At 54.6% G+C, this 16,122-nt stretch overlaps 1 long non-coding RNA gene across 3 annotated transcripts in view, besides 4 other annotated features; it reads left to right on the top strand.

Annotated features, from left to right (window-relative positions):
• Positions 167–376: a silencer, noted in NCBI's record as "silent region_2525". NCBI's record gives its function as "represses an Ori minimal core promoter by ATAC-STARR-seq in GM12878 lymphoblastoid cells {active_cell/tissue: GM12878}" and the evidence as "EXISTENCE:reporter gene assay evidence [ECO:0000049][PMID:35858748]".
• ZMIZ1-AS1 (ZMIZ1 antisense RNA 1) overlaps positions 335–16,122 on the top strand; it is a 124,123-nt gene continuing 108,335 nt past the window's right edge. For 2 of the 3 annotated variants that reach the window (NR_015429.1, NR_024429.1), the window contains exons 1-3: positions 335–395; positions 1,197–1,335; positions 1,964–2,036. This is a non-coding gene — a long non-coding RNA (ZMIZ1 antisense RNA 1). Of the gene's footprint in view, positions 396–1,196; positions 1,336–1,963; positions 2,037–13,054; positions 13,188–16,122 lie in introns of all 3 variants that reach the window. The other variant, NR_024431.2, reaches the window with a different exon arrangement.
• Positions 477–526: a silencer, noted in NCBI's record as "silent region_2524". NCBI's record gives its function as "represses an Ori minimal core promoter by ATAC-STARR-seq in GM12878 lymphoblastoid cells {active_cell/tissue: GM12878}" and the evidence as "EXISTENCE:reporter gene assay evidence [ECO:0000049][PMID:35858748]".
• Positions 567–776: a silencer, noted in NCBI's record as "silent region_2523". NCBI's record gives its function as "represses an Ori minimal core promoter by ATAC-STARR-seq in GM12878 lymphoblastoid cells {active_cell/tissue: GM12878}" and the evidence as "EXISTENCE:reporter gene assay evidence [ECO:0000049][PMID:35858748]".
• Positions 12,888–13,387: an enhancer, noted in NCBI's record as "H3K4me1 hESC enhancer chr10:80814153-80814652 (GRCh37/hg19 assembly coordinates)". NCBI's record gives its function as "activates a minimal SCP1, AML or CMV promoter by ChIP-STARR-seq in naive H9 embryonic stem cells {active_cell/tissue: H9 hESC(naive)}" and the evidence as "EXISTENCE:reporter gene assay evidence [ECO:0000049][PMID:30033119]".

Below are 16,122 nucleotides of genomic sequence, written 5' to 3'. Positions count from 1 at the left end.
CAGTTACACACACACATCGCTGTACACAACCCCACATACAATCAAAAAACAAAACACGAAACGTTCCCCTGGGCACTAAATCCTCACGTTAACGTACACACACAAACACACGCCCTCCTCTCCCACTTCCTCTTCCATACCCCTTCCTCGAGGCCCCCCACCCCTGATTTTCGGCACCCCCAGTCCCAATCATAATTGGCGCCCGCGCAGCCCTCTTTGGACACACACGCGCCGCCCACGCACGCGCTCCCCTCCCCGGCAGGCGGGGGCGGCTTCGGCCGGGAGCCGGCGGAGCCCGCTTCGGATTCCAGGTGTGGCAGTGACTCCGCGCTCCACGTTTTGCAGGCTGCCACCGTGTCGGAGGCGAGGCGAGGAAGGGAGCTGGAATAACAAAGGCAAGTTGGGGAGAGCGCAAGGGGGCGCAGCCCCGGCCGGGCTGCGGGGGGAGCCTTGCACGGCCGGGGCTTCGGAGGCTGCAGGGTCGGGGGCGCGGGGAGCCGGAGGTGGGGGAGGAAGGGTGGGGGGAGAGGGGCGGGGCTGAGGCGTGACGTCAGAGAACAATGACACCGCCGGGGGGCGGGCACCCGGAGGCGGCCCAGGCGGGGGTCTCCCCCGGGGCCTGGGGCGGGCCGAAGATGTCCAGGCCTGGCCGGAGCCGCCTCCTGATTGACGAGGCCCGCATGGGAGTGCGGACGTGCAGCACAGATTTGCGGGTCTCCTGGGCCTCTTGGGCGGTGATCAGCGCGGACCTTGGGCCAACCGGGGAAGCAGGCCGGAGCACTACCCCCCACCCCCATTTTAGAACATCCTTCTGAGGGCTTCGCTGACCTCGGCTTGAACTCCTTCAGAGCCGGAGAGATCACTCCTTCCACCACCGAGGGAGAGGAGGCAAAATGAATTTGCCAGCTTTGAATTCATTCTCAAGGCTCCGCTAGTCTCACAGCCAGTGAACTCAGTCTGGAATTCCTGAAAGCTCAGAAAACTGCTGCTTAGGTCCACCCGGGCGTGGGGGACGGGGTGTGTGGGGGCGCAGGCGGCGGAGTGGGGGCGTTATTTTATTTTCCCCAGGGGAAATTCTGCCTCCCTATGCCATTGGGTGCAAGAAAAGGCACTCCTTTGGGGCCTCAGTCTTCCTACCTGTCACATGGACATGGACTGTGATGACTGCTGCTCTTCCACCCCCGCCCTCCCTGTAGGTGGCAGCTGAGCATCCCTGGAGAGGGTGGGTGGTATGAAAGCACTTCCAGACCTCTAGGGACACCAGGGAGTCATGGTCCCAGCACATTGCTGTGTGATTGAGCCCCTCCTCAGCCTGTGGGTGGCCTAAGTTCACAGGTAGGTACACCAGGGCCACCTGAGAAACCTCCGAAGGTAGGAATTAAGCTTGCAGAACGGTGGCTGCAGCCACAGCTGTCCCACTCCCAGCAATCCACAGCATTGCAGCAGTGGCAGCAGCCACCCCATACCCAGGTCCAAAATCCCAAAAGAGAGTTTCTGGGTATTTAAGGATTTGGGATGTGATAATCCAGCCCAGCCCACAATTAGACCAGTTCTTGTTGCCTTAATGACCAGCTAGGTCTGGACGCCCAGCCCTCTCAACCTTTCTGTCCAGATTCCTCAATAAGTATCCAGGGCCTGCCCACTTCCAGGAATTGGGGGATGCAGGTGACCTCGGAGGTGACCACTCATGTTCAAAGTCTCCTGTCCAGAAGCTCCACCCCCTACCCCACATCCCAGCCCCCTACTCTCCCACCAGTATTTACATCTGAAACCCAGGAAGTGGCTGCAGAGGGCAGAGGAGCCAAGTAGGCTCAACTTAGTAGCATGGAACCAGGGATCATTTCAACCCTCCCCTTCTGTGCAAGCATGGCAGCAAGTCAGAAAGCCCACCAGGGTCCTGGGTCTTCCCTAGGCTCCAGTCCTTGGGTCTCTGAGGCCCTTGCTCTCTTTGTTCATCTTCCAGGGAGGTAATGGGGTAGATTGGATACCTCTGGGGTCTTGGAAGAAGCTATGACTTATTTACTGTCTACTATGTGGTGAGTACTGTGGTGGGTCCTCCTAGGTATTGAGAATTCAGTTCCCTGATTGAACTGTCACATTGTCTTAAGTTAGGTGCCGCTACCATCCCCCTTTCAGAGGAAACTCAACTGTGAATGACTTGCCCAAGATTGGTCAGGATGGGAACTCGGGCCCCCATGAACAGAGTTTCCTGTTGTCCCCTCAGCCCTGGCTCTGTTCATCCATAGACTGTGTAGCCCCAAGCAAGCTGCTTTCCCCCTCTGAGCCCCTGTAAGGTCCATGGTGCCATCAGGACTCACTGGGAACTGTGTGTCCAACAACCTCACCCCCAAAGTCTCAGCCTCACTGGGCCTGGAGATCTGCTGGTGAGACAAGAGAGGACAGTGCCATCACTTCCTCGTGGCCCAGAGCTGGAAGATGCATCCTGCTCAGCCCCTGCAGGCCCAGAAGTCACCTGGCTCCACTAGGAGGGCATGGGCAGTGTGGGGCCGCCAGGTTGTACCAACCTTCAGAGCACACTCAAGTGCTGTTAATTTCCCTGTCCTGTGGGAGCCACCAGCAGATTGGGGAGAGGACCATTGCTGGGGCCTGGGCCCAGGTTTCAGGAGGCAGAAAATCTGGAGGCCAGCAGGATGGTGGGGGTGGGAGGCTTGAGGTCCCTGAGGGAAGCAAAGGACTTGTGTAGGGTGCGGCGAGTATGGCCTCCTAGGCTGGGCTGGGATGGGGGCGGGTACACAGTGGGGATTCCCACCTGTCCAGGAGCTGCCTTCTCTGTCCCCACTCTCCACCTCTCACTTCTGGAACTTAAGGGAGCCAGGGAACATCTAAAATTGAGACTAGAGAGGTGGGAAGAAAATCTCATTCATTGAGTACTTACTGTATGCCACGCACTTTGGAAACATTCGTTGTATTCTCTCCACAAGCCAGGTGTCATTCCCTGCTAAGGGAAGAGGCTCAGAGAGGTTAAGTGACCTGCTCAAGATCTCATAGCTGGCTGAGCATGGTGGCTCATGCCTGTAATCTGTGCACTTTAGGAGGCCAAGGCAGGGTAGATCACTTGAGCTCAGGAGTTCGAGACCAGCCTGGGCAACATAGCAAGACCTTGCCTCTACAAAAAATACAAAAATTAACCAGGCATGGTGGCACATACCTGTAGTCCCAGCTATTTGGGAAGCTGAGGTCGGAGGATCACTTGATCCTGGGAGGCTGAGGCTGTAGTGAGCCATGATTGTGCCACTGCACTCCAGACTGGGCAACAGGGCATGACCCTGTCTCATAAAAACGAAACAAAACAATAAAGATCTCAGAGCTGCTAAGTGGGTGGAGCCGAGATTGGGCTCCAGGTTGGGCTGGGCCTTGAGGTTGAGAATAGGGACTTGCCCTCATCTCACTGCCAGGTTATGGTGCAGATAAGGTAACCTACCAGGTACTTTGGGGTGAAGTAAAGACTCTCACCCACTTGCCAGGGAATGACCAGGGTGCCTCCCATGGCAGTGAGGTAATGGAGATTACATTTAGAGTTCACCCCTTGGTGGATACAGGAAGCATTTGGGCCCTGCCCAGCTCTGAGCCCTGTGCCTCTAAGAGGTGAGTGGTTGGGTCAAGCAGGGAAGATCTATGTCCTTCAGCGAATTAGGCTCCCCTGCTCTGCCTCCCCCTCATTTCCAATCAGATGGCCCCTCCATTCTCTGAGCCCACACCTTCCCATCCTCCAAGGCTTGACTCTCCAATGTCCTTCCCTCAAGCCAGCCGTCTTCTCACTTTCTACCATGGAGTTCTGCCCTATGGTTCGAGACCCAGTTCAACCACCAACCCCTTCTTCAGATGGGAGTCACAAGAGAATAGGCTGGGAGCCTGCCTCAGGAGCCGGGACACCTATGTGCCCAGCCCGCCATTGCCTGACTTGCTGTGTGGCCTGAGCACATCACAAACTCTCCCTGTGCCTGTTCCCCATCTGCCAAGTGAGAGAGTGTGGGATATCCACCAGCACTTTTGCCTCTGATTGTCCTAAGATTCTGTAGGTCTGAGCCTTTAACCCTTGGACTGAGCTACAGTTCACTTTAGAGTTTGAGGGCGGCCCTGCTTTAGGGAGGGCTTTCAGAGGGGGCCATTTAGTGGAGTAGGGACAAGAAAATACCTGGAGGGAGCTGCTCAGAACTGTGACTATCTAGGACTGTGAATAGGTAATGACCCTAACGCCTCCCTTCATGAGGCACCTCTCACCCTCTGAGCCTCACAACAGCCCTTTTGTGGGTGACTAAGCTGAGCCCCAAAAGGAGGTGATGGCTTTCCCTGACTGCACCACTGGGAAGCACCAGAGCTGGAACAAGAGCCAGGTCTCAGCCAGGCATGGTGGCACATGCCTGTAGTCCCAGCAACTCGGTGGGGGGACAAGAGGGGGTGCAAGAGCCACATCTCCTCATGCAGTGTCCCCTCACCTGCGTCAGGGCCCCTCCAGAGGAGCAAGTACATGCGGCACTGATGAGGAAGTCTGGGACAAGCGACCTGAGGAGGACCATGCCTCCCACTTCCTTCCTGATAGCTCCTGCACCCCGAGAGGGGTGGGGGAAGGTCTCAGATCCTCAGCATCTCTCCTCCTTCTGGCTGTGCAGTCCTCCAGCCTCAAGACTCATGCTTCCTTGCCCTCACCTCATCCTGTGGCCATGCAGGGTGACTTCCAGAATTGCCAGCATTATGTACATACTCTTACCTCTGTGCCATTGCTCATGCTCTTCCTACCTCCTGGGACACACCCCTCCCAGTCACCAAGGCCACATCTGCAACCACTTGCTTGGAAGCCTACCCTGATACCTCCACCAGATGTGCCGTCTTCCTTGTCTTAACCCCCATATGCTGCTCTCCCAGCCTCCAACATCAGCATAACCATAGGAATTACTTGTGAAGTTCCTGCTATGTTCCAGGCATTGAGTAGCTCATACACATGAACTCCTCCCATCCTCTGAGCTATTAGTATTCTCATTTTACAGATGAGGAAACTGAGGCACAGGGAGTTTCATTTCCTAGTATGACACCTCACAGGCTAGGGAGGTATTGTGTTACATGGCCCTCTTCTGTCAAGGCTGCAGGTCATAGGATGGCTCACTGCTACATCCCATCACCCAGTGCAAGGCCTTGGGGGCTGACAGGCCATCCGGAGCAGGGGAGGTATAGAGGCCCACAGGATGGAGGATGACCAGAACCAGCCCTCTGGGGGCTCACAGTCTCTCAGGAAGGACTGCCCACACCAAATGCCATTCTTTTTTTTTTTTTTTTTTCTTGAGACAGAGTTTTGCTCTGTCGCCCAGGCTGGAGTGTGCAGTGGTGAGATCTCGGCTCACTGCAAGCTCCGCCTCCCAGGTTCACACCATTCTCCTGCCTCAGCCTCCCGAGTAGCTGGGACTATGCCACCATACCCGGCTAATTTTTTGTGTTTTTAGTAGAGATGGGGTTTCACCATGTTAACCAGGATGGTCTGCATCTCCTGACCTCATTATCCACCCGCCTTGGCCCCCCAAAGTGCTGGGATTATAGGCATGAGCCACCGCACCCGGCCACCCAATGCCATTCTAAGAGTTCGGGGAAGAAGAAGAGTTGGCATTGAGTGGGTCCTGGAAGGCAAGCTCTGGTGGGGCTGTGGGGAAGCCAGAGTGGGGCATGGACCTGCCTAAGGTCACACAGCAAGCAAGTATGAGACAGCAGCAGGGCTGGGACCTGGAGCTCCCAGTGTATCATGCCTTCTTGCACCTTGCAGCCAGCTGTGGGGCCCCTGCGACTGTGCTGTTTTCAAGGACACACGGTCCCAGATGCCTCCACAATTCTGAGCTGTTCAATGAGTGGCTCTGGTCCTTCTCCCCCCTCTATTAAAATGGAAAAAAGAAAGAAAGAAAGAAAGAAATCCAGGCATTGTTCCTGACTGCAGCTGGTGCCAACCAGAATCCCACTGAACAGAATGGAGCCGAGAGCCCGGCTGCCCAGGGGCCTGGCTGCTGACACAGGGCCTTTCTATTTTGCTTTCCACTGGGGGCCCAGGCTGACGGTGCAGCCCCTCCACGGACACCCTCTCCACCTGCCTCCCTGGCCCTGGCTCTGAGCCTCCTGCTGCCTTCACCCTCTTTGCAAAAATCAGATGGCACTTGGGGGAGGGTTGGAGGAGCACCCCCACCCCCTGCTTTCCTTCTTCATCCACTCACAGCCTGGGGTGCGCTGGGCCTCCCTCCCCGCCAGCCTGTCCTCCCACCCTACCAGGAGGGGACTTGGGATGCTTGTCTGGGAGAGCGACACAAATCCCTCTTCCAAAATCGTTTGAAACACTTGTCTGATTCTAGGACATATGAGGATTTTCCACCCCACCCCCACCTGACTTGGCAGGTGCCAGTCCTCAGCTCACACATTAAGGCCTCTTGCAATAGTGAAGGTCTTGTGGGGGAAAGGGGAACATGATGAACAGCTCTACAGAGACAAAAACAGTTTTTTAAGTTGCTAGTTTGCCTTCTGCCTTTGGTCTTAGGAGGAAAAAGGACTTCTCCAACTCTCCCTTACCATCTTCATTTCATCCTCTGCTTCCTGCCCCTTTCGTGAGCTGTCTGGTACTCAGACCTCCTCTCCACAGGCTATTGGCTAGTTTGACCCAGATTACCCCAAGCAGCAGTTCTAAGAGAGCAGCATCCTGGCCACTGTCCAGTGTCCACCAGGGACCCTTGGGTTGGCACTGCCACCACAGCCAGCTCTCCTGGCACCCCCTTCCTCCTGTGGACACAGCTCTTTAGTTTGTAAAAAGTACTTGACGTCTCACGCAAGTGCCACAGCAGCCTCAAGAGGCAGGCAGGGATTGCTAACCCACTTCGTAGAAGAATAAACTAAGGGTTCAGGAGGCATAATGGTTTGGCCAAGGTCAAAGGAGGTGACAGAGTTGGGATTTGAACCCTGGTCTCTTGATTCCATGTCACTAAGCTGCAGTGGGGACTCAGGAAGTGACGGTGTCAGAGGATGACATTCCCAGCCCCCACCACCTCCACCCGACCAAATGCTGCCAGGAGACAGGATCTCAGACACATCGATTCCTTTAAGGAATATTTATTAAATACTTGCTGTATGCCAGATCTCCAACAGTGAACAAAACAGATTTGGTCCACACTGCTGCAGAGCTTATATTCTGAGACAGACACCAGACTTCGTGCAGAAAGATCCCCCTCTTCCTAGTTGCCCAGCCCATATGTCCTAGAAGGAACCGTGAGATGGGCAGCCAGAGACATAAGTTCTAGTCCTAGCATTGCCCCTGACTCTCCATGTCACCTTGGACCGAGTTTTCCACCTGAGAAATCCAAGCATGTGGCCCCTCACACATTTTCTCAGGTCTCTTCCCTACTCCCAGTCTCTGGGTCTAGTGGTTCATGATTTCCCGGCATGAATTATCCTGATTTAGTTTTTTTTCTTAAACCCGACTTTTCCTAGGCTCTTAGAGCCAGAACAGGGCTTCTGAGATCATTTGCTCTGAGCCCTTCACTAAGAAAGAACCCCTTAGCCTCGTTCCTGCCAGGAGGAGACTGTCTTTGCTTGTACTCTTCCAGGGACGGGCTGCTTGCTCCCTCACATAGCAGACCTCTGCCAGTGGTGTGCTGGTAAATGTTTAACAGCTGGCTCCCCAAAGTGGGGAGAACCTGGTTTGTAGTATTTGCCGATGTCTACGGTGTAAATACCCCCACCATGGCCAGTTTCAAGCTGCCGACCAGAGCCAGCTGGCACAGCTGGTTGGTTCCATCAACCAGCTCGCGCAGTTCCTGAAAATTTAACAATCGGCCCTTGTGAGCCATATGAACAGGCTCCAACACACCATTTCCCCTGCCCCGCAGAGAAGTCTTGTCTAGCTTTACTCATTGGGAAGTTCTTTCTGGTATTGAGCAAAACATCTGATTGTCAGGAACTCTGGCCTGAAAGTCCTGAACTACTTCTCTGGGGTGTCACAGGACAATGGGGACCCCATGAAGGCCTTCTCTAATTGGTGGCAGCTCTTGACTATGTCTTCCTGTGAGAGGAGCAAGTTCCTGGGCCAAATGGGGTCAGAGCATAGCCACCCTCCCATTCTGCCTTTCTCTCTCCCTCTTCACCTCCCTTCCTTCCTCTCTTTCTTTCACAAATATTTCCTGGGCCCCTGTGACAATGTCAGACACTGCTAGATACTGTGGATTCAGCGACCCATGTCTTAGCTTGCGCAGAGATGCTGCCCACTCTGTGAAGCCTGTCCTGACCCCCACCCTAGCCCCTCCCGCAGTGGGCAGTCTCCTCCCCTCCCAGAGCCTTTATCGCCCCTGTTTGGCACTTATCACTTTCTACCTGGGATTGCAGCTATTTGTGTACACGGCTTATCTCCCTGCCAGACTGAGAGGCAACGTGGGCCTGTTGAAAGAGCGTGGACTTTGGAGCCGCATGACCTGGCCCTCAATCCCAACCCTGCGACTCAGAGCTGTGAGCCCTCGGGGAGCTCACAACACCTTTGGGAGCCTCAGTTTCCTTATCTGTAAAGTGGGGATGGTGATAACTACTTCCAATGTGGTTTTGAGCAACTGGTAGGATTAGAAATGTCAACCCCATTTCCTGCTCCTGTCTGGACTCCCATCCTCTTGGGGACAGAGATTGTGTGCAATACTTCTCTGTAGCCTCCTGGTAATAATAACATAACAATATTAATAACAATGACCAACACTTACACAGCAATACCATACATAAGGTAAGAGCTTACATATGTTAGCTCATTCATTCTCACAACCTTGTGGCATTGGAAGCATTATTCCCATTAACAGATGAGCAATCTGAGGCACAGAGGGGTTAGGTAACAAGCCCAAGGTCACACAGCTAGTGAGTGAGAGAGCTGAGATTTGAATCCAAGAAAATCCACCTCAAAGCCTTAGCTATTGAATAGTATGGCTTCTGGAGGGGTGTGAGTGTATGTGCCCATGGTTCACTGCAGCCTTTGAGCATCCTTGCCCTGACCTGCAGGGTGGGGGTGGAGTGATACAAGGAAGACCCTGGTCTGCGCATTAGGACATCCTAACAGGTGAGTGGTTAGTGCTGAAGAAAGGAGTGTCCCCAGGTATCTGGAGGCCAGGGGACTAGAAGGTGATAATCAATAAGGCAATCAGAGGAGGCTTCCCGGAGAGGTGGCGCTTGCCACCAAATGAGGATGGACAAGGCAGGGCGAACAGGAGGACCAAAATTGTAGACATGGGAGAGGTATATTAGGGTTTCACCTAGGTGTCAGACTAGACATATTCACTGGTTCTGGTGGGTGGGATGGAGCAGAGACTGTGAACTTGGGGAGGGGCATGTTGGTTTCCCAGTCTGTGATTCAATAGGGAATGGAGGACATTTTCAGGGGCCTTGAGAGCCAGTGCAGGCCCAGGAGAGCTGAGAGTCACCTGTGCTGCCCTCGGGGCCATATTGGCATTTTGCTTCTCTGCAAGCTACTCTGAGATTCCAAAGTCCTGGGTTCCCGAATTCAGCTGTGCCAGTCCCATCCCTCCATTTCTTCAAGCCTCAATTTCTCCAGTTCAGAATGGGCATAAAGGGTGGACCTTGCATGCCGATTAAAGGATGAGATAGGGCTGTGTGGGGATGGGCCTGACGCTCCTGGGGCAGGAAATGGGGGAAAGGTACTGCGGGGAGGGAGAGTGGGAAGCTGGGAGAGAAGGAGGTGGTGCGAGGAGCCCTGTGTGCTTGGCCAGTGAATCCAGGTCTGCTAAGCTGGCCCTAGCTGGGATTCTTCCAGCACCCCATACTGCATTTTCCCAAGGCTGCCTGACTCTGCTGCCTCAAAGCAGTCTTCCTCCTGGGCTTCTGCAAGGATAGTTCTGGGTTAGATCCTGTTCCTCTGGCCAACCCAGTTGAGCCCAGCCATGTCCCTTGGAGAGCACTCTTCATGTTCCAAGGGCTGTTTTAAATGCTCTTCCCTCATACTAACTAGTTCAGTCCTCACAGCCACGCTGTGAGTTCCCTCATTTCACATAAGGAAACTGAGGCACAGAGAGGGTAAGCCAGGTGTTCCACAGGGTTCCACGGCAGGGAAGGCGAAGTCTAAGGGATGGGAATAGCCCATGGAGCCAGGAAGGCGGGCCCAAGGGATGGGCCTCTGAACCGCCTTCTCACCCTTTCTGTATGGGAAATTATGACCATTGTGAGTCGTCCCTCTCACACGTTTCTTTTCTGCTCATCTCAAGGTTCTCAGGTAGCTGCAGAACCACAATTGACATCCCTCTGCCCATACAGGCGCCTACATGTCCACACACTCAACACCATGGCTGCCCAACGTCTCATAGGCACAAGGCTCACACTTTTGCACACACAACCATCAATTCAGAGCCACAAATGCATCTGCAGGCACCACACCCACCCTGCCGCAGATGCACACATAGGGCACGTGTGGGCTTTGGGCCTCAGACTGACAACCAAGCACCAACAAGTCCCATTCCCAGAATGACGGATACACACCCACGCGTTCACACGGGCTCCAGTGTGCCTGACACGACATGGTGGGGTCTGTGGACTCACAGTGCACCCCCTGGACCCATGTCCAGGCTCCAGCCTCTGCAGATGTCCCTTCTGCCCAGGTGCCTTCATTCCTATCCCTTCAAGACTACGGCTCTGGAATGTGTGCACAGCGGATCCGCTTCTCATGGCAGGTCCCTGCCCTGCCGTCTTCTGTAAGAACTGGGCCTCAGGTGTGTGGTAGGGGATTGGGGTAAAAGGTGACCCTTCCTGCAACCCTGGCAGGCTCCCTGGGCTGCAGAAGGGACAGCAGGGAGAGGAGAGTGAATTAATCCTGGCCTCCCTTCTTGGGTTCACTGTCATGCTAATTTTCTCCGCCTTTGATCCATCTCTCTAGCCCCAGCCCCTAACTCTGAGCAGGAGCAGGCGCTGGGTCTGGCCTGAGATTAGGGGCTGCCTTGGTGAGGCCTGGGGCACATCCTTCCATGTGGCAGACTGGGGTTTCGCCCTTGGGAGGGGCTTGGGGGATTATAGCCCTGGTTACTGACCTGCTGTGGGCAACACACTCTCCTTCACCAGACTCATCCTCTTTCTTCCTGACCGACCTTCTCCTCTCCAAAGGGGGCTCTGCTGTTCCCATTTTGCACAAGAGCAGAGTGAGGCCCAGGGTTGAAAGGTCTCCGGAGGCTTCTGGCCACTGAGAGGTGGAGCCAGGCTGGGAGCACACATCTTCCAGACTCCAACCCCGCCCTGTTTCCGTGGTGGGTCTTCGTTCTGGTGATTTTTTTGAAACCAGCATCTACGGCGTATTCATGACATGCCAGGGACTGCGCCTTAACATACATTGCCTCATGCAGTCCTCAGCAATGCTCTTATGAGTCCCACTTTATAGGTGGGGAAAGAGTCCTGTGTAACTATCTGGTGAGTGGTGAAGTCTGACCAAATCCAGGACACAGGTGGCCAAAGTCCCCTCCCTGTAGGGGGTGACACTGAGACCCAGGCAGGGGAAGGACATGCCCAATCCCACACAGAGAGGGAATTGGCTGGACATGCATCTCCTACCTTCCTGTATGCTCCATCTGGTTCCAGAAATGACTGGACTCTTCTATGGACCCAGTGGAGCTCAGACAAGGGTCCAGGCCCTGACACTGCCCCAGAGCAGGGGTGCCAGCACCTATGAGGATGCCAAGCTCAGGTCATCGCCCTGCGGTGTCTCAGCCAACTGGGCCTCGAACAGCCCCATAAACTTGGACATAAACACAATTAAAGTTTTTTATTACATTATATTTTGTACATATAAAAGACTATTTGTAAGCCATGAAACATTACAATGAATGCTCATGACTACTCTGCTGAAGAACTAGAGTATTAGGGACACTTGTGAAGCTCCGACCTTCCCAGCCCCCTACTTCCCAGAAGGAGCCACTATCCTAATTGTCATTACTCTCTGCTGTTTTTGTTTGTTTGTTTTTTAAGGAGTCTCATTCTGTTGCCCAGGCTGGAGTGCAGTGGCGTGATCTCGGTTCACTGAAACCTCTGCCTCCTGAGTTCAAGCGATTCTCCTGCCTTAGCCTCCTGTGTAGTTGGGATTACAGGTGTGCACCACCACGCCAGGCTAATGTTTTGTATTTTTAGTAATGATGAGGGTTCACCATGTTGGCCAGGCTGGTCTCAAACTCCTGACCTCAGGTGATCCACCCACCTCGCTTCCCAAAGTGCCGGGATTACAGGCATGAGCTACCACGCCCAGCCTCTCCCTGCCTCTTTTTAACAGAAAGTTTTAGCACCTGTGTGGAGACCCCTTCACTCACTGCACTTTTTTTTTTTTAAGAGGTGGGATCTCACTCTGTCACCTACACCCGAGTGCAGTGATGTGATCCTGGCTCATTATAGCCTTGATCTCCTGGCTCAAGCGATCCTCCCACCTCAGCCTCCCAAATAGCTGGGACTGCAGGTGCATGCCACCATGCCCAGCTAATTTTTTTTTAATTTTTATGCAAAGACAGGGTCTTGCTATGTTGCCCAGGCTGGCCTCAAACTCCTGGCCTCAAACAGTGCTCCCGTCTCAGCCTCCCAAAGTGCTGGCATTACAAGTGTGAGCCACCACATCCAGCTGCTAACTGCACTTTTGAGATGTTGCATTCTATTCTGCACTCCCAATTATTCATTCCCAGGGGAAGTGCATTATTTAAAGGGATAGAGAGAGAACTTGGAGGAGCCACTTGCACCCCATGTGCCTCTTCGCTTCAGTGCTGTGAGTGCTCTGTTTGGCCCCCTCATTCCAGTGAGTGCCCTGAAACAGGACATTTCTTCCTGGTACGGCCAGTAGAAGGAGGGTGGGGGCCTTCCGGCAGCTGGGCATTCTCTGAACATGGCATGCTGCCTTGCATTTGCGTAAGCCATTCCTCCACCTGGAATTCCCTTCGCTAGACTGTTGTGGGAACCCAGTTCCTTCTTCCAGGTCCAACTCCAAGGTTTCGTTCTGGAGATGCCTTCCCTGTGACCCCTTGCCCCTCTCCCCCAGCAGAGCTGGATCTGTCCTCTTCTCCCCTGACAGAGTTTTGGGCATCCTTCTATCAGCCCTTATCCCAGGGCAGGAAGAACAGCCTTGATCCTGGATCCCAGGCACAGCTGGGTGTCAGACCTGGAGGAGAAGCTCCCAGAGTGACCAAGATAGAATCGGCATGCAGGTGACAGCAGATGGGCATCCCTGTGAAACCCCATGGGCCTGGACCTCCAGGGTCCTAGCCAGTTTGCTCCAAGTTCTGTGTGGACTGGGGATTTGGAGGCAAGTCTGTGGGGAGACTGCCTGGGGCTTGTGCCTGCTGTTTACCTGTCTGCTGTTCAGGCACATGATCAGGCCAGTGGGTGTGCCCAAAGGTGGGCGTGGTTGCAGGAGTGCTCACGTTCATACACGTGTTTACACACACGTGTGCATACACGGGGTGCCAAGGCTATAGGTCTTGCGAAGCATGCAGGGCCACTGCCTTTTCCTGCTTTTAACCCCCCTCCTGGACAGGCCTGTGTTCTCTCTGAACATCTCACAGTGCACATTTATGGAGTGCCTGCTGTGTGCAAGACCTGAGGGGTTGGGGCAGAGCAGTGCGCAGGGCAGCTGGCCCCTAGGGGACAGGAATGACTGAGCACTCACACAGTGTCTTTCTGTCCTGGTCCCCCTGCACAGGAGCCCCCAAGGCCAGGCACCCCCGCCTCTACTTCCCAGAGGAGGACTTTGAGGTCCTGATGCCTGAGAGGGGCACCTGTTGAGTCAACAGAGGGGACGGACAATGAGACCAGCAGTCCGGTGCTCAATTCTCCATCCTAAGTGCCAGAAACCCCTACTTCAAGAGAAAACTGGCATTGACAGGGCCCACCCAGAATCCTCTCCTGCACCCTCCTTTCCCCTACTGGAAACCACACTTTTTGGGGGGCATTTCCCTGGGCATCCTGTAGGAGGGCATCACAGCTGTTAGCAGCAGGAGGAATTAAGGGAAGCTCTGACCTGAGTTAGACTGGACCGTGTAGGACAGCACTACCCCATGTCTGAACTGGGGACCGGGCCACCCCTCCCCCAACACACATACCACACACACGCATGCACACATACACACATACACACACATGCACACATGCCCAGAGAGGTGATGGGAGTTGCCTAAGGATGCCCATGGCGAGTGCTGGCCCTCTCCCTCCCAGACCCAGTTTGTTCCTTTAACTCAGGCTGCCCACTTTCCTGTCTCTTCTTGCCCTCCCCGCCCCCCGCCCCCCGAGTCTGAGAATTAGGACCCTGGTGGCTGAGGAGGATGATCTGAGGCATGATCAGGTGCTCCCTTCTGGGCCACTATTGGCCCACCCTTAAGGTGGCAGGATGACATGGAGTTTCGGCCAGCGTGAATATAGGGGCTGGAGGATCCCTGTCTTTCCTTGCCTGGCACCCAAATGCAACCTGGAAGACCCTGAGTGAAGGCCCCTTTCTGGGAAGAGGATGGCATTATGGCATGGCCATTAGAATCTTTGGCTATGGACACTGTGACAGCCCAGGGCAGAATCCAGGATTCCTCACTTCTAGCTGTGGGCTGTGGGCAGGAGGCTTCATCCTGCTGAATCTTAGTCCCTAACCTGTACCGAAAAGATGAACATACTTCATGATGTTTGGAGAGGGAGGCATTGTCTCGGATCAGGGCCCAGGAAATGGCAGTTGGGGTGGTCAGTGCTTATTCTTGTAAGCAAGAATGTGTGGCCAAGCCAAGTTGTGTCCAGAACACCTGGACCCACAGGATTTGGGCCTGCCTCGTGGCCCCAGGATTTCGAACCCAAATTCCAGTCCTGACATTGCCTCACCAGCTGGTTGGCCTTGGGCATGTCCCTGGCTGCCTCTGGCTGCAACAGCCTCAGCCCCAAATGAGCACATCAATCCCAGGGTCACATGGAGGACAGAATAACCAATGAGACATCAGAAGGGCCTTGCAAATCACAAGGCTTGTGTCCCTTTTGGGGATGCTGGAGGGAGGAACAGGTACCTACCAACTCTCAGTGGGTCCCTTGTGCACTCACACCCAGCGTTCTGGCCTCCAGTCAGGCTGAGAGGTGCACTTCCCCCATACAGGGGAGAGCTGCACTCATTTGGGGACCCTCTCCCGAGCCCTGCCCCTGCCCTCCCCGCCAGGCCCCCAGCAGCCAGGTTGGAGAGCTCTCACTCAGGGAGTCTGAGTCCCCTTTGAAGCTGGGAAGTTTGCACTGGAGGGGCAAAGGCAGCCTGCATTCAAAGCATCTCTCCTGGCCCTTAATTACCCTTCTTCACCCATAGGTGGAATTTCCACTCAAAGAGCTAAGAAATGCACCCGTGCTGCCGCCAGGGACTGGGTTTCCCTGCTGCCTTTGTGTAGCAGCCGCCAGCGCGGCAGTGGCACACAGCTCGGGTTTCTGATTTTAATGATTTCCTGAATTCATTCCGTTTCCTACCTCAGGGAAAGGAGAAGAGGTGATCCTCTTGGAAATTCACATAATTGCTTTTATTTGATTTTTATTAAAATGCATTCAGGAATAATGTGATTGCCCCCTTTATTAGATTGTTCATCAAGCTGGCATGGGGAATCAGCCTAGAAAAAAGTGGTGGGCACAGGAGCCTGGTGTGTGATGGGGAGCGGGCACAGTCCCGCGGCGGCCTTGGGGGCTTGCCTCTCACTGGGGGAGTCACGCCTGCCTCTGAGCCTCCCGCTGCTCCTGTCTGGGGAGGTGGGCCCACTGCAGGGCGTGTTGGAAGAATGAAAGCTGGCAGTCAGTGTGGAAGGCCGTGAGCACCGTCTAAATCCCCTCCACATCCCAACCCACTCCTCCTCTGTTGCTCCTCTGCCCACCTCTGAGGCCACACACAGGCTGACACGGAGACCCGTGGTGATCTGGCATAGCAGCACTGACCCCACACTCGCCTCCGCACTCCCAGTTGCCTGTACTTCTACGATGGCCTTTTTGCCAGTCTTGCTGTCCTCAGGCTCAAGGTCCTCAGTGCAGTTTTCTGTGGCCCACCTAATCACACCACTCCCCTGTTCAGAAACTTGGTGGCTCCCAAAGACCCCTTTCTTGCCGGAGACTTTTGCTTTGGGTTCCTTTGCACGCGCTGGAAGG

Source organism: Homo sapiens, chromosome 10 (assembly GCF_000001405.40).
Source record: "Homo sapiens chromosome 10, GRCh38.p14 Primary Assembly".
NCBI lineage: Eukaryota > Metazoa > Chordata > Mammalia > Primates > Hominidae > Homo > Homo sapiens.
This window is presented reverse-complemented; position numbering and strand designations above follow the sequence as displayed.